We start from the raw sequence: 24,697 nt of genomic DNA, 5'->3' as shown, positions 1-24,697 counted from the left end.
CGTCATTTGTTGAGGGATATTTGGGTTGCTTCTACCATTTGGTACTTGTGAATATTGCTGCATATATTAGGCTGTTCTTTTGTTGCTGTAAAGAAATACCTGAGACTGGTATTTGTGTTTGTCTCGCAGTTCTGCAGGCTGGACAGTAAGCATGGCACTGGCATTGGCTTGCGGAGGCTTCTCAGGAGGCCTCGGAGAGCTTTTATTGATGGTGGAAGTGAGAGATGGCGCGTCCCATGATGGGAGCAGGAGGAACATAGTGGGGGGAGACGCCGCACACTTTTAAACAGCCACATCTCCCGGGAGCTCACTGTGAGAAAGCACTCATTAGCAAGGGGTGGCAGCAAGGCATCCGTGAAGGGTCCACCCCCATGATCCAGTCACTTCCCACCCCCTCCAACACTGGGGATCATTTCCACATGATATTTAGAGGAAAAAACATCCAAACCATATCAGCTGCTATGAACATTCATGGACAAGTTTTTGTTTGAATGCCTGTTTTCAGTCCCGTTGGGTATATACCTAGGAGTGCCCTTGCTGTGTTGCACAGGACTTGCACGTTTACTTTTATAAGAAACTGTTTCCAGTGGCTGCGGCATTTTATATTCCCACCAGCAGGGTCTGAGAGTTCCAATCTCCTCATCTTCTCACCAGCACTTGTTATTTTCTGTAGTTTTGACGATGACCATCCTAGTGGGTGTGAAGAGGTATCTATCTCATTGTGGTTTTGGTTTTCATTTTCCTCATGACTAGGACTTACAGCATTTGATACATGACACGTGCAGATGCACCTGATACGTGACACGCGTGGATGGACCTGACACGTGCAGATGCACCTGATATGTGACACGTGCAGATAGATGCACCTGATACATGACACGTGTGGATGCATCTGATATGTGACACGCGTGGATGCACCTCGGAAGCCTGGCACCAAAGGCCGCATGCTGTATGGTTCCATTCATATGAAATGTCCAGAACAGACAAGTCCAAGAGACAGAAAGTGGTTGCTTAGGGGCTGGGGGAGGAAAAAATGGGGAGTGACTGCTTAGTGGGGCATGGGGTTTCCATCTGGAGTGATGAGAAGGTTCTGGAACAAGATGGTGGTCATGGTCACACATTATAAGTGTACTTAATGCCACTGAATTGTACACTTTAAAATGATAAAAATGGTAAATTTTTAAAAATAATTTTACTTTAAGTTCAGGGATACAAGTGCAGAATGTGCAGGTTTGCTACATAGGTACACACATGCCATGGTGGTTTGCTGTTGGTTACATAGGAACGCGTGTGCCATGGCGGTTTGCTGGTTTGTTACATAGGTACATGTGTGCCGGGTGGTTTGCTGGTTTGTTACGTAGGTATACATGTGCCATGGTGGTTTGCTGGTTGGTTACATAGGTATACGTGTGCCATGGTGGTTTGCTGGTTGGTTACATAGGTATACGTGTGCCGGGTGGTTTGCTGGTTTGTTACGTAGGTATACATGTGCCATGGTGGTTTGCTGGTTGGTTACATAGGTACATGTGTGCCGGGTGGTTTGCTGGTTTGTTACGTAGGTATACATATGCCATGGTGGTTTGCTGGTTGGTTACATAGGTATGCGTGTGCCATGGTGGTTTGCTGGTTGGTTACATAGGTACACGTGTGCCATGGTGGTTTGCTGGTTGGTTACATAGGTATATGTGTGCCATGGTGGTTTACTGGTTGGTTACATAGGTACATGCGTGCCATGGTAGTTTACTGGTTTGTTACATAGGTACACATGTGCCATGGTCGTTTGCTGGTTGGTTACATAGGTACATGCGTGCCATGGTGGTTTGCTGGTTGGTTACCTAGGTACATGCGTGCCGTGGTGGTTTGCTGGTTTGTTACATAGGTACGCGTGTGCCATGGTGGTTTGCTGGTTGGTTACATAGGTACGCGTGTGCCATGGTGGTTCGCTGGTTGGTTACTTAGGTACGTGTGTGCCATGGTGGTTCGCTGGTTGGTTACATAGGTACATGTGTGCCATGGTGGTTCGCTGGTTGGTTACATAGGTATACATGTGCCATGGTGGTTTGCTGCACCTATTGACCCATCCTCTAAGTTCCCTCCTGTTGCTCCCCACCCCCCAACAGGCCCTGGTGTGGGTTGTTCCCCTCCCTGTGTCCTTGTGTTCTCACTGTTCAACTCCCACTTATGAGAGAGATTTGGCGTTTGGTTTTCTGTGTTATGTGCATTTTACCACAAAAAAAAAATGACAAAGGAAAAAACGTTTTTTGTGTGTCAGTACCTTTGTACTTTGACAAATAAAAAGTGCGGCCGGGCACAGTGGCTCATGCCTATAATCCCAGCACTTCTGTAGATCGAGGCAGGTGGATCACCTGAGGTCAAGAGTTCCAGACCAGCCTGGCCAACATGGGGAAATCCTGTCTCTACTGAAAATACAAAAGTTAGTCAGGCATGGTGGCATGCACCTGTAGTCCCAGCTACTCAGGAGGCTGAGGCAGGAGAATCACTTGAACCTGGGAGGCAGATGTTGCAGTGAGCCGAGATCATGCCACTGCACTCCAGCCTGGGCAACAGAGCGAGACTCTGTCTCCAAAAAAAAAAAAAAAAAAAAAAAAAAAAAAAAGTGCAACAGAAGAATATTCCAGAACTGCAAAAACGTTGCTTCCCTTGGCTTCCTGAATTCAGTGGGAGACAGTCTAACCTGATTTGTATAAGCAATGATTAAAACAAAATCCTGGCCTGGCCAGGCATGGTGGCTCATGTCTATAATCCCAGCACTTTGGAAGGCCATGGCAGGCAGATCACCTGAGGTCAGGAGTTGGAGACCAGCCTGGCCAACGTGGTGAAGCACATCTGTACAAAAAATACAAAAATTAGCCAGGTATCATGGCAGGCACCTGTAGTCCCAGCTATTTCATAGGCTGAGGCAGGAGAAATGCTTGAACCCAGGAGGCAGAGATTGTAGTGAGCCGAGATTGAGCCACTGCACTCCAGCCTGGGCGACAGAGCAAGACTCCATCTCAAAAAAAAAAAAAAAAAAAAAAATCCTGGATCCTGGCCTGGGCAGCTTATGTCACAAGTGAAAGACTCAAATGAGAACCCACCGTCCACCCCTGATTCCCGTATTTTAGCCAGAGCGCCCTAAGTCAAGCATAGGCAGGGTTCCACTGAAGGAGAACACTGTTGCATGCACGGATTCAGGGTGTAAATCTTCCTAGCCGTCTTCTTGCCAGGATGACTGTGTGTTGGAGGAGGAGAAATGACCATATTTTTCAGGATTTTCAGGATGACTGGACACCGATAATTCCTGGAGACTTAATATGACACTGTTCCTTCATTCCGGGGAGTGGGGGTGAGGGTAAGCCGGTCAGATGGCAAAGAATGTTTGAGATCAGCTCCAGCTTATAGTGGAACTATTAATAGCAAGCCCAGGAACCACCATGTGGCAAATATTCCATTTCAGAATCCATGCTTAGAACAGAAATGTTTGCCAGAAGCTTGGAAAATAAGGCACACAAAATCCAGGCGTCTTCCATCTCGGTGGGATCTCCGGGGTCCAGCGCCTGGGAGCATCTCCCGATTTCCCCCCAAGGGAAAGAGAATTGCTGTCCTGGTACCTCCCATCACTAAGAGAGGGGCACAGTGCCAGGCAGGGCGTTCTGGATTTTGGAGGCAGAATAGTCTTCAGCAGATAACTGTTCTCCTTTCAAGAAAAAAAAAGTCTGGCTTTCGACTGGGCTCAAGTGAAGGTTCACTACTTCCTAGAGGTGAAACTAGTAAGCCAGTGAACACTATGAATGTTCCATTTCAGAACACATGCTTAGAACAGACAACCTATACCATAAAGTACAGGTTGTCAAGGGACCTGGGCCTCCTGCCATGAGTGAGTGTCACCCAGCACTCATGCCCCAGATGTACATGGCTGCGCCCTGCTAGCCAGGAGGGGTGAGGCATGTGGCTCAGGCTTGTGCACGGCTGACACAGCTGCGCCCTGCTAGCCAGTAGGGGTGAGGCATGTGGCTCAGGCTCACGCACGGCTGACATGGTTGCACCCCACTAGCCAGGAGGGGTGAGGTATGTGGCTCAGACTCACACACGGCTGATACGGCTGACCCCTGTTGCACTCCTTGGTCTCTGTCCCCACACTGATGTCCTCACAGGTTGTTCCCTCTGACCAGCCCTATAGAGAAGAAAATATTTCGGCCTCATTTCTGGATGTTTTTTAATGAAATACTGGCATTACCCAAAAGTACATGGCCACACCCTTCCCCCTTTGAAGGGTGGCCCTAAATGATGCAGAGGGTGAAACTGTCTTTGCAAAAATGATAACAGTGAGAAAATTATGATGGTGAAAGAGATCTGACCTGACCAATCTCATCTTGCCTTTAACTCCAAACTGCCCTTGGTTATTCCTGGGCTTGGACCAAGCTAACTTTGGGAAAAATTTAGTTTATAGTTGAAATTATTAGGTTGGTGGGTTGGTGAAAATGTCATTGTGCTTTTTGCCATTAAAAGTAATGCAATTACTTTTGCACTAACCTTTTCCCCAGACTAAATCACCTTTGAAAAACGAATGAAAGACTGCCAGGTTAGGAGGATGAGAGGGACCTGAATTCTGCTAAGATGTGGGCATAGTTATACGATTACCAGCCATTGCTCTGGAGGCCACAAGATTTGCAACTTCCCCAATTCCTCCTGCAGATAACTTCACTATTGTAGAACCTAAGGTGGCCTTTCGAGATGTCTTTTCAGGCTTTTGCATTTCTGACAACCGGATGGCCCCACCGGGACCGTCAACTCTTGGCTCAACTGGTCCTGTGGTCCTCACCCAGAGGCAGACTATCATTGCATCCCCAACCAATCAGCAGCACCCATTCCCCTAGTCCCCCTGCCCACCAAACTATCCTGGAAATATATGGAGAAAACCTTGAAAAACCCTAGCTATCAAACTGTCCTTGATCAGGTGATTACGAGGGGAGAGGGGAAAGTCCACCTTATGAGCAGAACCTGTGGGACTCACCTGGTATGGTTTTGCCTGGAAGGAGAAAGGGACAGAGCTGTAGCTCTATGTTGATTCAGCACCCAAAGGGGCTGGCCTGGACAACCAGGGTCTGGGAGGGAACCCTGTGGGCTGGAAGGTCTCAGGGAATAGCTAGTGGGTAGACGTCTCTAAATGAGCCCAAATGTGGAGATATTTGTGTCCTAGCTACATGCTTAGTAAGTGCAGCCCCAGCAGAGGTCTCTCCCGCCAGTCAAGTGCACAAGGTACCCCCAGAGTGGCCTATCCTAGTCTCTGATGGTGCAGGCGGCCTCGACAGCGGAGTGGGGGATGTGTGGCTCCACATCGTGGAGCCTGTGCTGACACGGCTGCTGCACTGTGAGGTCTAGCTCTTCCCTGGCGTCTGCTGCAGCAGAGCCCAAGGGGCTCCTTGGGGCCAGACCCAAGTCTGGTTGCCCAGAACAGGAACCTGGAACTCCGCTGCACACACACACCTCTCTGGGCTGGCAAGTCTCCCTAACCAGGGGAATAACACCTTCACCACCTTGGGTCCAGCCCCAGGCCATTGAGATCCTGGACTAGCTGGGTGGTCTTTGGGTTCCAGAGTTCCTTGATGGACATGAGGGAGCTTCAAGTGTTCATAGCAGGACCTCAAGAGGGCAGAGCTGACACCACTAAGAGAAATGCCTTTCACCCCTTTGGGACCTCTCTGCCTCACGCCTCCAGCATGTGCTTGGTCCACAGGCAAACCACTCTCCAGACTGAGCCCCAGCTCACCCCGGCAGACACTTTCTGCTGACGAGTGGGATTGTAAATGGTCAGAGAGACCCCAATTCGGAGTCATCACCTCCTCACACAGTGGACTGTAGGATTAACGTGTGTCAGCAAAAGAGGGTGACAGGACAGGACCCACAGGCACCCCAGGGGGCCCCTCAGGCAGTGGAGGTGCTCGTCAGGCCCCGTCTGCCTTGAGGAGCTCACGGTCCCACGGAGACAGAGAAACAAAACGTTAGCGCCTGTCTACATGAGCACTTGCTTCCATAAACTTGCTGTGCCTCTGGGGAGGTTCTGACGCAGCCTGAGCCCTGCCTGGTCCTGGTCTGCCTGGCGCTGGGGGTCCTGGGTGAGCACCTAGAGCATTGCAGTCATTGTGGGTCCTAAGCCTGTCGCCACCAAGTCCAGGGGCTCAAGAGGGGCCTGCGTCGTCTGCTCAGCACCTTGGACAGGGGCACGGGATGTTGTTCCCGCCATCGCCACCGACTCCCGGCACAAGCCTGGTGGTGCCTGGGACCAAAGGGATGAGCAGAGCAGAAGCCAGCTCAGGTGGCTCTGACTCCAAAGCACGGGGCCCAGAGCCCTAGGACTTCTTTCTCCGTGAGGAGCTCAGAGCACAGCATCAGGCCTCTTGCATTGTTGTTCTCTGACCTGGGATGTTGGGAAGTCAAGTTATCATCACACTCTTCTCTGCATATTTCTCAGACTTGTTTTTGTTTTTAGCAGCTTTATTGAGATATAATTGACATACAATAAACTGTAAAGTTTAGAGTGTACAGCCTGATAATTGTTGACACTTGCATGGTGAACCAGCACACTGATGGAGGTAAGGAATGGATCCACCACTCTCAAAACCTCCTCCTGCCCCTCTGTAATTCCTCCTCCCTTCCCTCCCTACCCCACAAGGCAATCACTGACTCACTTTCTTTAACCGTAGACTAGTTTGCATTTTCGGGAATTTTATCCAACTGGAATCATTCAGTTAAGACACGTGTTTTTCTCTGACTTACTTATTCTGAGCTTCATCTGCATGGCCGCGTGTATCAGCAGTTAATTCCTTTCTATTGCTGGGCAGTCTTCCATTCTTGGATGGAGCACACTTTGTTTACTCATTTGCATGTTGGTGGGTGTTTCGAGTCTTTCCAGCTTCTGTCCGTTACAAGTAAGCCTGCTACGAACATTCGCATACAGGTCTTTTTAAGGATGTGGGCTTTCATTGCTTTTTGCTAAATACCCACAAGTGGAATGGCTGCACCATATGCAGGCATATATTTAACTTTTTAAGAAACTGCCAAACTATTTTCAAAGGTGGTTGTAGCATTTTCCATGTTCACCAGCAGAGCAGGAATGGTCTGGTCACTCCACCTTTTCACCAAGACTCGTATGGTTGGAAAGTAAGGAATAGTTCAGAGGATGGCAGCAATATCTCAAAAGCACACAGAACCCCACTCGATCGGGCTCCTAGGGACCAAGTCTGGGATACTTTTTAAAAATACAACTTTTAATTATGAGATCATTGTAGATCCACATGTAGTTGTGAGGAATAACACAGAGAGGTCCTGTGTGCCCTTCACCCAGTTTCCCTCAATAGTAACATCTTGTAAAGCTGAAAAGTACAACGGCACAACCAGGACATGAGCATCGATGCGGCAAGGCACAGACGTTTCTGGCACCACGTGGGTCCCTCCTGTTGTCCTTGATAGCCACACCCCCTCCGCCTCCTACCCCTATTTCCAAGACCTCCCTCACTCTTGGGGAACACTAATCTATTCTTGGGGAATACTAATCTCCACTAACTCTTGGGGAACACTCCTCTCCATTTCTATAATTGTGTCATTTCAAGCATGAAATAGAAATAGAGCCCTACAGAATGTAACCTCTTGGGGCTGGGCACAGTGGCCCATGCCTGTAATCCCAGCACTTTGGGAGGCTGAGGTGGGGAGATCACTTGAGGTCAGGAGTTCAAGACCAGCTTGGCCAACACTGTGAAACCTCATCTCTACTAAAAATAAAAAAATTAACCGGGTGTGGTGGTACACACCTGTAATCCCAGCTACTCAGAAGTCTGAGGCAGGGGAATTGTCTGAACCTGGGAGGCGGAGGTTGCAGTGAGCTGAGATCGCACCACTGCATTCTAGCCTGGGTGACAGAGCCAGACTCCATCTCAAAAAAGAAAGAATGTCACTTCTTTGGACTGGTGTTTTCCCCTCAGCATAGCTCTCTTAAGATCTGTCCATCTTTGGGGTGTGTCAAGAGCTCATTCATTTTTATTGCTCAGTAGTGTTTCACGGTACGGATGTGTTACACTTTGTTTAACCATTTGCCCACTGAGGGACACCTGGGTTGCTTCTAGTGTTGGGGTATTTGGTATCAAGCTGTGCTAAACATTCATGTTTAGGTCATATGGTTTGGCTGTGTCCCCACCCAAATCTCACCTTGAATTTCCATGTGTTGTGGGAGGGACTTGGTGGGAGGTAATTGAAGCAGGGGGCAGGTCTTTCCTGTGCTGTTCTCATGATAGTGAATAAGTCTAATGAGATCTGATGGTTTTGAAAAACGGGAGTCTCCCTGCACAAGCTCTCTCTTTGCCTGCCGCCATCCACGTAAAACGTGACTTGCTTCTCCTTGCCTTCTGCCATGGTTGTGAGGCCTCCCCAGCCACATGGAACTGTAAGTACAGTAAGCCTCTTTCTTTTGTAAATTGCCCAGTTTCGGGTATGTCTTAATCAGCTGTGTGAAAACAGACTAACACAGCAGGTTTGGGAGTGAACATAAGTCTCCATTTCTCTAGGTAAATGGCCGGGAGTGCAATTATTGGGTGGTATGGTAGTTGTATGTTTATTTATTATTATTATTATTTTTCACAATGGAGTCTTGCTCTGTCACCCAGGCTGGAGTGCAGTGGTGCGATCTCGGCTCACTGCAACCTCCACATCCCAGGTTCAAGCGATTCTCCTGCCTCAGCCTCCTGAGTAGCTGGGACTATAGAGGTGCACCACCATGCCCAGCTAATTTTTGTGTTTTTAGTAGAGATGAGGTTTCACCATGTTGGCCAGGATGGCCTCAATCTCTTGACCTCGTGATCTGCCTGACTTAGCCTCCCAAACTGCTGGAATTACAGGTGTGAGCCACAGTGCCTGGCCATATGTTTAGTTTTTTAAGAAACAGCTGAAATGCTTTCCAGGGGGTTTTTACTACTGTATGTTCACATCAATAATGTGTGACGGATCCAGTGTTCCACATCCTCACCAGTGGCATTTTTTTATTTTAGCCTTTCCAATAGGTGTGTATAATATCTTGTTGCATTTTAATTTTCATTTCTTTCACTTACAAAGTTGTTGAACATCTTTTTATGTACATATTTTGTTATCTATATATTCGTTTTTCATGAGGAAAGCCCTCCTTTGAATAAATATTCTCTTCAGTGAAGTGCCTTTTCATGTCTTTTGCCCATTTTCTAATTGGTTGATTTGTAACTGTTGAATTTTGAGAGTTCTTTATACAGTCTAGACACTAGTTCTTTGCTGGATAAATGGTTTGCAAATATTTTCTCCCAGACTGTAGCTTGTCTTTACATCCTCTTAACAGTTTTTTTTTTTTTAGTGCAAAAGTCTTAAATTTGAAGAGGTCAAGTTTATCAGTTTTTCTTTTTATGGATCATGCTTCTGGTGTCAAGTCTGAAAACCTTTTTGTCTTGTCCCAGATCTCAAAGATGTTCTCCTGTGGTTTTGTTTTCCCTAATTTTTTTTTTTCTGATTTCATGTTTGTGATCTGTTTTGAGGTCACTTTTGTGCAAGGTCTAGGTTGAGTTTTGTTGTTGTCTGTTGTTGCTTTTTGCCTACGGATTTTCCATTGCTGTGGCGCCGCACTTTGAAAGCAATGCGTCTTCCACTGAGTCGCACTTGCATCTTTGTAGGAATCCCCAGGGCGTATTTGTGTGGGTCTATTTCTGGGCAGTTCGTTGTGCCACATCAATCTGAGTATCTGTCCCTCTGCCAACCCCACACTCTCTAGGTCATTATAACTACTATATATAAGAAGTCTTGCAATCAGGTACATGGATTAGCCCCATTTTTCTCTTTTTCCAAATTAAGCCTCTTCTTTTTTTTTTTTTTTTTTTTTGCGACAGAGTCTCGCTCTATCACCCAGGCTGGAGTGCAGTGGTGCGGTCTCGGCTCACTGCAAGCCCCGCCTCCCAGGTTCACGCCATTCTCCTGCCTCAGCCTCCCGAGTAGCTGGGACTACAGGCACCCACCACCATGCCCAGCTAATTTTTTGTATTTTTAGTAGAGACAGGGTTTCACTGTGTTAGCCAGGATGGTCTCGATCTCCTGACCTCGTGATCCACCCACCTTGGACTCCTGAAGTGCTGGAATTACAGGCATTAAATTTCTTTCCTTTAAAAATTACCCAATTTTAGCTATTCTAGCTCCATCACTTTCCATCTATCCTTTGGAATAATCTTGTACTTATTCATGACATATCTTTTTGGAATTTTGTTAGACGCAATAAGAATTGTGTTAAACCCATAAATCAGTCTGGGGAGAGAATTCACCACTTCACGATGTTGAGTCTTCCACTCTATGAGCAAGGCACGCCTTTTCACTTACTTTCTTCGTCTTCTTTCTTTCATCAGAATTCTGTGTACAAAACACATATACAAAGTCCAGCACATTATTTGTTAGACTTACACCTAAGTACTTCATTTTTTGAGTGGTTAAAAATAGAAGTATATTTTTCATTGTGATGCCCATGTGTTTACTGCTACTACATAGAAATACAATTGATTTTTCAAACGTTTATCTTCTTTCTTGTGACCTTTCTGAACTCACTGATTAGTTCTAGGACGCTCTTATTTATTTCAGATTCCTTACGATTTTTTAAGTGGGCTACAAAGTCATCTGCTTATGGGACAAGGGCGTGTCTTCCTTTTTGATGTGTATGCCTTTGGTTTCCTTGTCTCTCTGTGTGCACCGGCCAGAGCTTCCAGCACTGTGTTGTGTTGAACGCGAGGGTTTCCTTGTCTTGCTGTGCACCAGCCAGAGCTTCCAGCACTGTGTTGAACGCGAGGGTTTCCTTGTCTTGCTGTGTGCACCGGCCAGAGCTTCCAGCACTGTGTTGTGTTGAACGCGAGGGTTTCTTCGTCTTGCTCTGTGCACCGGCCAGAGCTTCCAGCACTGTGTTGTGTTGAACGCGAGGGTTTCCTTGTCTCTCTGTGTGCACCGGCCAGAGCTTCCAGCACTGTGTTGTGTTGAACGCGAGGGTTTCTTTGTCTCTCTTTGTGCACCGGCCAGAGCTTCCAGCACTGTGTTGTGTTGAACGCGAGGGTTTCTTTGTCTCTCTGTGTGCACCGGCCAGAGCTTCCAGCACTGTGTTGTGTTGAACGCGAGGGTTTCCTTGTCTTGCTGTGTGCACCGGCCAGAGCTTCCAGCACTGTGTTGTGTTGAACGCTAGTGGTGAGAGCTGATGCTCTTCATTTGTTTCTGATCTTAGGGGAAAGCATCTAGTCTTTCATTAGCAAGCGTGTGAGCTGAGGGTGTTTTGTAGATGATCTTTATCAAGTTGATGAAGTTCCCCTTGATTCCTCTTCTTCTGAGAGTTGTTTTTTTTTTTTTTTTTTTTTTAAATCATGAGTGATGTTGAATTTTGCCAGGTGCTTTTTCTGCATTTTGACGTGGTCATGTGATTTTTCTTCTTTAGCCTATTTATTTTATTTTATTTTATTTTATTACTATTATACGTTAAGTTTTAGGGTGCATGTGCACCATGTGCAGGTTTGTTACATATGTATACCTGTGCCTTAGCCTACTAATAGGATGAACTACATTGATTACTTTTGGATATTGAACCAGACTTGCATCCCTGGAATAAAGCTCCACTTGGTCATGGTCTTTAATTATTTGTATATATTGCTGAACTCTATTTTCAAGTATTTTGTGAAGGATTTTTATGTGTTCATAAAGAACATTGTGTGCAGTTTTCTCTTTATATAATGTCTGTGTTAGGCTGTTCTCACATCGTTATAAATACCTGGCTGGGTGCGGTGGCTTGCACCTGTAATCTGTAATCCCAGCACTTTGGGAGGCCAAGCTGGGTGAATCACCTGAGGTCACGAGTTCGAGACCAGCCTGGCCAACATGGTGAAACCCTGTCTCTACTAAAAATACAAAAAATTAGCCGTGTGTGGTGGCAGACACCTGTAATTCCAGCTACTTGGGAGGCTGAGACAGGAGAATCGCTTAAACCCAGGAGGCAGAGGTTGCAGTGAGCCAAGATCGCACCACCACACTCCAGCCTGGGCAACAAGAGTGAAACTTCATCTCAAAAAAAAAAAAAAAAAAAAGAAGAAGAAGAAGAAGAAATACCTGGCTGGGTGCGGTGGCTCACACCTGTAATCTGTAATCCCAGCACTTTGGGGGGCCGAGGTGGGTGGATCATTTGAGGTCAGGAGTTTGAGACCAGCCTGGCCAACATGGTGAAAACCCATCTCTACTAAAAATACAAAAATTAGTTGGGCATGGTGGTGGGTGCCTGTAATGCCAGCTACTGGGGAGGCTGAGGCAGGAGAATCGCCTGAATCCAGGAGGCAGAGGTTGCAGTGAGCCGAGATCATGCCACTGCACTCCAGCCTGGGCGACAGAGCAAGCCTCTGTCTCAAAAAACAAAACAAAACAAAACAAAACCTAATATTGGGAAATTTATAAAGAAAAGAGGCTTAGAGGCCTCAGGAAGCTTGCAACCATGGCGGAAGGCAATGGGGGAGCAGGTGCGTCACAGGCCGTAGCAGGAGAAAGCTGGGGGCGAGGGGTGGGGGGAGGAGGGAGAGGGGGAAGGTGCTACACACTTTTAAATGCCCAGATCTCGTGAGAACTCTGTCATGAGAACAGCACTGGGGTGCTCATGATCCAGCCATCGGCGTCCACACTGCCACTGAGTCCTGGCTGCCTTCCTCGCTTTCCTCACCCTCCTCGTTGCTCACTGTTTGCTGGGGCACATTCCCAGTGCTGGTGCCTTTGCCGGGCTTCCCCGATGGGCGTGGAATCTGGGGCCGGTAGACAGGCAGAGGCTCCTCCCACCTCACAGCACAGAGGGGCGGCTTTGTCAGGGGACGCCCTCCTGGGCTGGAACAGAAAGCACACACCGGGGCACTGGCCACCCCTTGGCCCTGGGGGAGGGGACGGGGGCTGGACCTGCCCAGACTTACAGGCTCAAGAGGAAGCTTCTCCCTCCACTGTTAGGGGGAGGCAGCGAGTCAAGGCAGCCTCACCTGCGAGGGCAGGCCCCATGACCAGTCCAAACAGAGATGGGGGATGAGACGTGGAGATGGTCATCAAAGGACCATGCAGATGAGGGGGGCGGGCATCAGGGAGGGAGGGTGCTAACCACTGGGTGAGCTGCAGCCCCCTTGCAGGGCCTGGGCAGCGCTGCCTGCCATGGCTTCCCGGTTACCCAGGGTCTCCAAACAGCACAAGACGCTGGCACAGAGGATGCTGTCCCAGGTGAACTCCTCCCAGCCGGGACGGGCCGAGACGATGCGGTTGTTGGTGCAGCCCCTGGTGACCTCTGTCACTTGTTCTGACCCTGGGGAGAGAGAAGGCCGGGCTCACAGCCCTGAGCCTCCAGGGACAGCACAGAAGCCGGCTTTCCCGGAGGAGGTGAGGACCAGGGAGGACAGATTTCCCAGACCTCCCTGGACCTGGGGGCAGAATTCAGAGCAGCAGGTGGTCTCCCAGTGCCTGCGGGCATCCGACCCAGGCTTGGCTGGGTCCTGCTTGCGTGCACAGATGTGACAGAGATGTCTGGAGAGGCCTCTGCCACTGTGTCTGTTTATAGGGGACCCTCCTGACAAGGCACAAAGGAAAACCTGGAACGGCCCTGAAAGAGAAGGAAGGCTCATGCGGGCACAGCAGGAGGTGCCAACATCACATCCTACACTCAAGAAGAACGTTTTCCAGCTGAAGGAGGCCTGGGGATCTGCTGTCCCTATCCGCAGGAAGCACCGCACAGCTGGATAGGGAAGAAACAGGATCTTTAAAGTCCTAGTCAGTCCCAAGGGCTGAGCCACCCCTGCAGCCCACCTCCCTCCCGACCTGCCCAGGGCTCACCCAGGTGGGGGCTTTGCTGCCACTAAACCTGGACCCAGAAGGACAGAGGGGAGGGGTAGAAACCAGCACGAGCTGCATCCAGGGAAGCTGCAGTCTCCGTTTATACAAAACTTCCTTCAAAACAGGAGGAAGGAGGAGCAGATGCCGAAGGAGCGGTGAGGTGGTTGTCTGAGAAGATGACCACAGCAGATGGCAGACAGGAACAGCCCGCCCAAGAGGGCTGGAGTTCAATGCTTGTCAAAGCCCCAGCTGGCTGGCCGGGTGCAGTGGCTCATGCCTGTAATCCTGGCACTCTGGGAGGCCAAGGTGGGAGGATCCCCTGAGGCCAGGAGTTGGAGATCAGCCTGGGCAACATAGTAGACCCCCATTCTATAAATAAATAAATAAATAAATAAATAAATAAATAAGTTGGGTGTGGTGGCACGTGCCTGTTGTCCCAGCTACTTGGGAGGCTGAGGTGGGAGGATCACTTGAGTCTGAGAGGGCAAGGCTTCAGTGAGCCATGATCGTGCCACTGCACTCTATCCTGGGTGACAGAACAAGACCCTATCTCAAAGATAAATGAATAAATATAAGACCACCAGCCATCACCCCAAACCACTGGGAGAAGAGGACATGGTGCCGGGAGGGCCACGGGCGTGCCGAGGGCTGCATGCCCATCAGCACATCAGCGAGGGAGTTTTTGAGGGAAGGTGGCTTGCAGCCAAAATTCAAAATGTGCCTCTCTTATCTAGACGGGTGACAGAGGATGCAAAACCACGTACAGCAGGGTGGCGGCCTGGCCAGGTGGGGCTTTGAGGCCTTTGAAAGTAACAAGCCAGCTCTGCACCTGCTAGCCCCCAAAATACTCAGAAATTATCACAAAGAAAGAGGAGGGTGACGGTGCGGCAGCTCATGCCTGTAATCCCAGCAGTTTGGGAAGCTGAGGCAGAGGATTACTTGAGCCCAGGAGTTTGAGACCAGCCAGAGCAACATAGTGAGACCCCATGTCTACAAAATAAAAATAATAAACAAATAAATAAGAATGAAAGAAGACAGAGACACATGGCTGGCATGTCCTGGGGATGCCCACTGGTGCCTGTGTCCCGGGGATGCCCGCTGGTGCCTGCTGTAGAGTGGAGAGTTGAACTGCACTGTGGCTTATGCCCTTTGGAACCAGAGCAGGGAGAGGACTTCCTGTTACCCAGGGTCCTCCCATGGAATTGGAATGTACATCAATTCTCTATCTGGTCACCCCAAAAGAGATGGGTGTCATTGGCTCTCTGGACTCCTGGCTGCTCCCCTCCCCTCCAGGCGTATGTGGCATCCCACGGCCTGCTTTTCCTAAGGGATCCAGAGGCCCAGCATGGAGTCCCCAGCTGAGTCCACGAGGAGGATGAAGGGAGGGGAGGCTGCCCAGGCCGGAACTCAAAGTCTAGGTCCCCTAACCCTGGACCCCCAGGCCCTGCTCACAGCTGGGCAGGAGCCCGTGGAGGGAACCACGGAGCTCAGAAGCCCACCCCCACCCTCTCCAGGGACTGTCCCGGCTGGCCCTGCCCTGTGTGGACCACCGCAAGCTGGAAGAAACCCAGGCTTTCCTGGGCACTGCAGGAGACTGGCTTGTAGGCCTGCTGGCATTGGTGTGGAGGCAGTGGTAGCATGACAGGCTTCAGTTTGCAGGAGGAGGGGTGAGGGCAGAGCCATGGGCTCCGAGCACACCTGGGTCTGGGCCCAGCCACTACCATGTGAAGATGCCCAAAGACCCCAAGCTCATAGCACCTCAGGTGACACCCTCAACCCTGAGCACACATTCTCCACCCTGGGGCCGGTGTTCACAGCCGTGGGTGTGAAGCCACATAGCATCCCACTCCGCTGCAGGGTCACAGGGCAAAATGCACTCAGCACAGCAGGCCTGCGTTGTCCTCAAGGAAACATGCGCCTTACACCACAGAGACACAGCTGGCCTTTCCTTCCACCCCGTCCTGGTGTCTTCACCTTTCTCTGCATACACCAGCATGGGCCCCAGGATCAGGAGAACCCTGTCCATTACGCAGGCAGCAGGTCTACACTGGGAGCAGAGGCAGAACCTCGCCAGGGCCCCGACCCCTGCTCTCTCCCCTCAACCATTGGTCCTGCCCCTGGACGCCTCCTCTGTGCCCACTGGGATGTGTCCTCCTGGCCCCTCCAGCCCTATCCTCACAGGGGTCTGCATCCCAGGGACCCTCGCCTGAATCCCCCTCCTGCCCCTTCCCTCAGACCTGGGCTGGGCCTGACAGAGGACAGAGGTACTGGGGAGGATTCCTGGGGTTCTTACGCAGCAACCTTGGAGGCCCAAGGAGGAGGATGCAGCCATCACAGCCCGGGGTGAGATGCAGGTCCACCCCCTTCCAGACTCAGCCCCAGCCTCAGCTCTGATGCATCCCCTCTTTGTCTAACAGTCCCCAAAAGTAGGGCAAGGGGCTCCACACTGTGGGGACACCAGGGACCATGAAGACTGGGAGCAGACCCAGAAGTCTCTGAGCTCCTGAAAGGACAGTGACCAAGGCTGAGAAAATGTGGGGAGGACAGTTTGTTTTCTCAAGTTAATGTTCAGTGAAACAAACTGCTTCCTCGGCTCTCACCCTGTGAGCGTGATGGACGCCACATGCCCCCGGCACTCAGGCACTCAGGCACTCAACCCTGGAAGCTTGAACAAGGACATCCAGGGCTTTGATTTCATCTAGCATGTCCAGATCTTATCATTCTCAAAAGTTTTCTGTATCTCTTAAGACCATATTCTCTGACACAGTGAAGTCATACATTCATAACAAAAAGGATAAATACATATTTTCACAAGTAAAAATGCAAAAAGTACATTCCAAATGAACAGATTCTTTAAAAAGAGAAGATCTTAAATATTTTTTTAAAAACCTAGAACAGATGAATGAAGAAAATACCACTTCTCAAAATGGGATGCAGTGAAGGGTGGTAGCTGAGCAAAATGCATATCCTGCGTCCTTACATGAAAGAAAAATAAAGGGGAACATTCTGTTGGGGGTTCATTTTTAACTTTTCAATTTTCTTTTGTTGTTGTTGTTTTAACTTCTACTCAAGACAGCTTGGATTAACTTTTCATTTTGAAATAGTTTCAGGTTTATTAAAAAGTTGCAAAAAAAGTACAAGAATTATGCCGTCTGCTTTATATAGATTTTCCAAGTCTTAACATTTTTCATAACTATAGTACAATGATCAAAACCACAGAATCAGCACTGATACAACTTATAATCTAATCTATAGACCTCATTCACATTTCAGCCATTGTCCCCCTCACAGCCTTCTCTAGTCCAGCATCTAATCCAAGCTCACACGTTTCACTTGGTTGTCCAGCCCCTTTAGTCTGCTTTAACCTGGAACGGGTCCTCAGCATGGATTTATTTCGTGACCTGACACTTTTGAAGAGTAAAGGCCAACTGTTTTGTAGAAAGCCCCATCATTTGGGATTGTTGCTTAAGTGTGCTGTTCTATGTATTCACACTGACACCTCTTTCCCATGGCCATAATATTCTGTATTTCCTTCCTTCCTTGTGTACTTTTGATCTCTTTTCTCCCACAGTGACAATGCTGGCTTGTGACAAAACCAATTTATTTCAACAGTTTAATGATAATATATCTGCATCTGTATTTATCCTATTTGAATTCACTGGGCTTTTGAATCTATAATCTTTAGGTTTATGTCCTTTTTCAAAATTGAAACATTATCAGTCATTAGTTCTTCAGATCTCATTTCTGTACTCCACTCTTTCTCCTCTCCTTCTGGGCCACCAATTATACAGCTGTTGGACTTTTTGGTATTGTTCCTGAGGTGCTGTTCATTTTTTGTTTTGTTTTGTTTTGAGACAGAGTCTCCCTCTGTCACCCAGGCTGGAATGCAGAGGTGCGATTTTGGCTCACTGCACCCTCTACCTCCCGAGTTCAAGTGATTCTCCTGCCTCAGCCTCCTGAGTAGCTGGGATTGCAGGCACCTGCCACCATGCCCAGCTAATTCTTGTATTTTCAGTAGAGATGGGATTTTGCCATGTTGGCCAGGGTAGTCTTGAACTCCTGACCTCAGGTGATACATCTGCCTCGGCCTCCCAAAGTATTGGGATTATAGGTGTGAGCCACTGAGCCCTGCCTCATTTTTTTTTAAATCAGTGTCTTTTGTGTTGTTCAAATTGGACAACTGCCATAACAACTCTTTCCCTTTTCATTTCCATTCTCCTGTTGGCCCAGCCAGAGACTGCTTTATCCTGGTGATTATGTTTCCAGTGGTGCAATTCCCACTTGGTCATTCTTTGTACATTCCACTTTCTCCCTGAGCCTTCTTATCTTTCCATTTATCTCAAGAGTGTTTGCCATTACTTGCTAGAGAATGCTTATGATAATTACTTTAAAGATGTTGGTGATTCCAACCCTCATGTCATCTCAGCACTGGCAGCTACTGATTGCCATTTTCCTTGCTCATTGAGATTTTCCTGATTTTTTGTAGAAGTAATTTTGGATTGTGTCCTGGGCGTTTTGAATGTTGTGAGACTCTGTGTCTTATTTAAGTGGTATGGAGAATGCTGCTAGTTTTGTTTTAGCAGCAATTGATGTGGTTGGGCTTATGTTGCAAGTGCAGAGCAACCTGCAGAGGCTGTGGCTTCCACATCAGCTCAGTCTTTAAAGCCTCATGGTGTTTGGGTATGCAGGTCACTCTCACGTCTCGGTGGAGGTAGATCCCCTCACCTGGTTCTCATAGTCTATTCCATCGAGGGTCACATCCATGCATGCCCAGCTCGGGAGTGAGCCAGAGGTTTTACTGACAACACGATGGATTGCTTTCCAAAGTTCCTCATTACCTGCAGTTTCTCTGATGCTGTGTGGTCACCTGGGATTCTTCTTTGGGGCATCTAGTCAGAAGGCTGCGGCTCATTATGTCACGGTGCTCACACTTTCTCCCTCTTCGACCCCCTCTGGGGTCATGACGTGGGAAGATGTGGAGAGAAAAAGACCCGTGGCCTTTACCCCACCCTCTCGGAATCACAGCTTATCTGATTAGAGGCAAGATCCCTGCCCTCAGTGTTGTGGGTCCCTGCAGGCTCCATGGTGGCTCCTGTGGCTGCTGCTAACCCATTCACTGAGTAAGCCCTGGAGGGGTCCCCCAGAGCTCCCCACCTGTGCCCTGGTGTCTGCTCCTAGAGTGTGGGCTGCCTTGAGTCAAGGCCAGGGAATGCCAGAGGAATGAAAAGGGAAAACTTTCCACTGGTTTGGTGGCACCTCACATTTTTGTCTTATTTCTCAATCTTCCTGATAATTTTATGATCAGAGTGTCCATTTGCATGTGTCCTGGAGGCAGCTCAGATAGCTTCTCCACGTGTTTCAGGCAGGGTTTAGAGCTGCACTCAGCAGAAGAGATGGGAGAGACTACCTCCTCCACCTGACCTTGAGCTCAAACCAGCCTTGGCAGTGCTGCCCTCGACATGCTGCACGTTACCCTCTGCAGCAGGTGCCACCCCAACGTCAACATCCCTAGGGCTGTTTTCATTTGCATTTCTTCCACAAGTGAAGGGCAACATTTTTCCTTATGTTTAAGTGGTATTTTATATCATTGTTGCTAATGTTTGTGTATGTTGCTCATATTTTCTATTAAGCTTTTGGCGTTTGCCTACCTCCCCCAATTAAGAGTTCTTTATAACTCCCTGGTATGTGTTTGTTTGTGTGTGTGTGTGCCCATGTGCACCTCATACAAAATATCTATATTTTTATAGAGTCAAATTAGTCAATCTTTTCTTTTTTGCATTTCGATTGAATTAAATTTAGGAAGTCTTTCTCCACACTGAGGTTGTAAAGATATTCACAGCCGGGCATGGTGTCTCATGCCTGTAATCCCAGCACTTTGGGAGGCTGAGGTGGGCGAATCACAAGGTCAGGAGTTCGAGACCAGCCTGGCCAACATGGTGAAACACCGTCTCTACTAAAAATACAAAAAATTAGCTGGGCATGGTGGCGGGTGCCTGTAATCCCAGCTACGCGGGAGGCTGAGGCAGGAGAATCGCTTGAACCCAGGAGGCGGAGGTTGCAGTGAGCCGAGATTGCGCCACTGCACTCCAGCCTGGGTGACAGTGCAGGACTCCATCTTGAAAAAAAAAAAAGATATTCACGTATCATTTCTTTTGGTATTTCTACACTTTGGTTGTTTAACATTAATTCTTATGTCTGCTATGTGGATGCATGGGTAGAGATCCTATTTGACTTCTTCCAAGAATCCATTCATTTGTTCACACATCAATTATTTTAACAAGTTTATCTTTGATCCAGAGATTTGAGATTCTCCCCGTATTGTACACAGAGTTTCCATGCATTCTTGGGTATATTTCTGGTCTTTCTAGTCTACTTCACTTGATTATTCATTAGCATGAAGACACCACATCGTTTTAATTTTTGAGGGTTTTTTTGGTGTGTTTTAATCTCTGGTAGTACTAACCCATTAATAACTCAACTTTTTTTCAGAATTTTCCTAACCAATCTTGAATGTTTTTGTTTGCATATCTTTCAACATGTCTTGTTCAATAAAAAGAAATCATGATTTTTATAGCAATCACATTAAATGAAAACATTTCATAAATTAGGGAGGACTGATGTCTAATGGCATTGGTGCCGTTAGAGAACAAGGAACAGCTTTACAATGGCTCAAGGCTCCAGGTGCATCTCGCAGGAGTGCATTGAATTTTACTCCCTTAGATTTTGCACGTTTTGAAATCCAATTTATTTTTAAGCATTGGATTTTCTCCCCAATTGTAAATGAGGTTTTCTCTTCCATTATATCTTGTAGTTAGTTCTTGCTTCTATATAAAAAGGCTGTTGGTTTTCACTTTAATTTCATATTCTACTACCTCATTGAATGATTTTATTGAATTTTCTAGTCTTAGCATTGCTCCATTAGGGCTTTTTTCCTTTTTTTTTTTTTTTTTTTTTTTTGACGGAGTCTCACTCTGTCATACAGGCTGGAATACAGTGGCACAATCTTGGCTCACTGCAACCTCCGCCTCCTGGGTTCAAGTGATTCTCCCACTTCAGCCTCCTGAGTAGCTGGGATTATAGGCGCCTGTAGCTGGGATTATAGGTGCCCGCCACCACACCCAGCTAATTTTTTGTATTTTTATTAGAGACAGGGTTTCGCCATGTTGGCCAGGCTGGTCTTGATCTCTTGACCTCGTGATCTGCCCGCCTCAGCCTCCCAAAGTGCTGGGATTACAAGTGTGAGCCACCGTGCCCAGCCAGGGCTTTCTTTAGAAAGAGTTTTTGAGGTAGATGGGTCAGCAGCAAATAGATTGTATTTTCCTCAAATCTTTTGCCTCCAATTGCTTTCTCCTCTATTTTTCTTTGCTTTTGTCTCCACTGCAATGTTTAAAAAATGACAGTGTCTGTCCTGGTCTTAGTGCATTAGTGGAACCGCAGCCAGTACTTTCCCATACAGTGAGTTTCTGGCTTCAGGGTTCACACACACACACATGCACACACACGCATGCACACGTGTGTGCACACAATCATGTTATTGTCCAATGTGCTACTGAATTTGTCTTGCTAATATTTTATTTAAGATTATTGCACTGATATATAAAAGTGCTATATTTTCCTTTTTGGTATCATCTTTATCATGTTTGGCTATCAGTGTGATGCTTGCCTTGTAAAAGGAACTTGGAAACTTTACTTCTTGGGCCCAATTTGGCAAATTATGTTTTTACTAGAAACACTTCATTTCATCTAAATTTTCAAACTTATTCCATACAGGTATGCAAAATGTCTGTTGTGATCATTTATTTTATTTTTATTTATTTTTCTGAGACAGGGTCTCATTCTGCTGTCTGGGCTGGAGTGCAGTGGTGCGATCTCGGCTCACTGCAGCCTTCACCTCCTGGGCTCAGGCAATCCTCCCACCTCAGCCTCCCCAGTAGCTGGGACCACAGGCATGCACCACCCAACCTGGCTTCTTGTGACAGTTCGATCAATTTTACTGAAGTGTGATTTACACACAACAAAAAGCACCCATTTTAAGTGGTCAGCTCAATGAATGTTGGTAAATTTACACACCACATACCCACCACCATGCTCATCACACTTGCCTCTCCCAACAGGCGCCCGCCATGAGTGACACGGCCCCCCATCCACATCCGGCTCCAGGCAACCACTGATCCACTTCCCACCACTTGAATTCAATTTCCACTTCCTGGGATTTTGCATGAATGGGTGGCTGGAACGGTTCAGCCTCTTTAACCACTCAAGCCATTTATCTGTGTTTCCCCTTCCATCTCATTCTCAGTCTTGCCAGCAATGTCACCATTTTGCGCATCTGTTGACTTTGTGGATCTTCTCTATTTTAGTTTATTTTGGTTTCTGATTTCTTTAATAACACCTTTTGGGGGGACATTTTCCTTCAGAACTCCCTGGGTTTAATTTGTTGTTCTTCTCAAGGTTCTAGACCTGAATACAAGGTTTCTTAATTTTCAGCCCCTCTTCCTTTCTAACACAAGGCCTTAAGTCTATACGTTTTCCTCAAAGCACCACTCTCATTTAAAACAAAAGCTGGTTCTGATTTTTGTTACCACGCAGCTCAAGGAATTTTTAAGAAGCCTATTATAGTTTCTTCTTTAACAGACGAACTAACTGAAATGTTAATTAAATTTCCCATATTTGAAATGTTAAAGTTTATCTTCATCATAAACATTCAATTTAAATACACATGGTCAGAGAACATGGTGCATGGGAAGTGTGTTACCCTGGGATGTTGAACACGTCAGGTCTACACCATGGGCTGGTGCGTTACCCTGGGACGTTGAACACGTCAGGTCTACACCATGGGCTGGTGTGTTACCCTGGGACACTGAACACGTCAGGTCTACACCATGGGCTGGTGTGTTACAATGGGACATTGAACACGTCAGGTCTACACCATGGGCTGGTGCGTTACCCTGGGACGTCGAACACATCAGGTCTACACCACTGGGCTGGTGCGTTACCCTGGGACGTCGAACGTGGCAGGTCTACACCACTGGGCTGGTGCGTTACCCTGGGACATCGAACGTGGCAGGTCTACACCACTGGGCTGGTGCGTTACCCTGGGACGTCGAACGTGGCAGGTCTACACCACTGGGCTGGTGCGTTACCCTGGGACGTCGAACGTGGCAGGTCTACACCACTGGGCTGGTGCGTTACCCTGGGACGTCGAACGTGGCAGGTCTACACCACTGGGCTGGTGCGTTACCCTGGGACGTCGAACGTGGCAGGTCTACACCACTGGGCTGGTGTGTTACCCTGAGACGTTGAATGTGTCAGGTCTACACCACTGGGCTGGTGTGCTACCCTGGGACATTGAATGTGTCAGGTCTGCCCCGCTGGGGACAGCATCGCCATTTCTGGCTGTAGGGGGTCTGATAAAAGGTCTTGATTTTCCTTTGTTACTCAACTATATAGAAGGTTTTTTTCTCTATCAGTAGGGGGAGTATGGGTGATTGATTATCAATGTTGCTGCAATTGTTATTTTTTAAAATAAATTTATATATAAAAAATGATGTGTTAAAATTGAAAATCCACATGAAAAAAACAAACAAAAAACAACAACAACAAAAAAAACTAATCCAGACACAAATCTTATACCTTTCACAAAAACTAACTAAAAAGGACCATAGGCCTGAATGCAAAATGCAAAACTATAAACCTCCTAGAAGAAAATGCAGGAGAAAATTGATCTGACCCTGGGTTTGGTGATGAGTTTTTAGATACAAAACTGAAAACATAATCCCTAAAATTAAAAAAAAATTGATTAAAAAAATCGACAGATTGGGCTTGGTGGCTCAACCTGTTTCTTTTGGGCTCAAAGGATCTGCCAGCCTCAGGCTCCCAAAGTGTAATCCCAGCACTTTGGGAGCCTGAGGCAGGCAGATTCCTTGAGTCCAAGGGTTTGAGATGAGCCTGGGCAACATAGGAAGACCCTGTCTGTATTTAAAAACAAACAAACAAACAAACTCAAGAAGAACATAAAAAATGAAGAAAGCATCTGACCAGACACCTCACCAAAGATCCGCTGCTGGCAAGTAAGCAGACAGAACGAGGCTCTGGGAACAGGGAATTGCAAATGAACACACCTACGAGACACCAGCACCACTTTTTAAGTGACTGAAATCCAGAACACTGACAATATCAGTTTCTGGCTGGGATGCAGAGCGACGGGCACTCCCCGTCATTGCCGGTGAGGGTGCAAAATGGTGCGGCTGCCGTGGAAGACAGGTGTGAAGTTTCTTACACAGCTACACAGAGGCTTCTTGGCAGCTCCGGCAATTGTGTTCCGTGGCATTTAAACAGAGGGGTTGAAGGCTGATGTCCACATAAGAACCTGAACGTGGACGTTTACCGTAGCTTCATTCATAATTGCCAATGCTTGGAAGCAACAAGATGTCTTTTGATAGGTGAGTGGTTAAACAAATAGTGCTGCATGAAGATGGTGGAATATTGTTCAGGGATAAAAAGAGATAAGGTAACAAGCCATGAGAAGACATGAGATGGAGTCTCACTGTGTCACCCAGGCTAGAGTGAGGTGGCGTGATCTTGGCCCACTGCAACTTCCGCCTCCCAGGTTCAAGCGATTCTCCTGCCTCAGCCTCCCAAGTAGCTAGCTGGGATTACAGGTGCCCGACAGGCTGCAGGGACAGTCCTTATCCTCAACCTCCCAGCTGGAAGGTTTTTTGCAGATCTGGCTGCTCCAGTGGTCACCGGTACCCACCCTCAGAGCCCTTTGTTGAGGGCTGGGCAGGGCGGGTGGACGGGGAGGAGAAGGAAGGAATGAGCACCA

The 24,697-nt window shown here is 47.8% G+C and overlaps 1 annotated feature.

Moving 5' to 3' along the window:
• Window positions 13,165–13,693: an enhancer, noted in NCBI's record as "H3K4me1 hESC enhancer chr8:144175908-144176436 (GRCh37/hg19 assembly coordinates)". NCBI's record gives its function as "activates a minimal SCP1, AML or CMV promoter by ChIP-STARR-seq in primed H9 embryonic stem cells {active_cell/tissue: H9 hESC(primed)}" and the evidence as "EXISTENCE:reporter gene assay evidence [ECO:0000049][PMID:30033119]".

This window comes from Homo sapiens, chromosome 8 (genome assembly GCF_000001405.40).
Source record: "Homo sapiens chromosome 8, GRCh38.p14 Primary Assembly".
Lineage (NCBI taxonomy): Eukaryota > Metazoa > Chordata > Mammalia > Primates > Hominidae > Homo > Homo sapiens.
The sequence above is the reverse complement of the archived record's forward strand: the minus strand, read 5'-3'. Positions and strand labels throughout refer to the sequence as shown.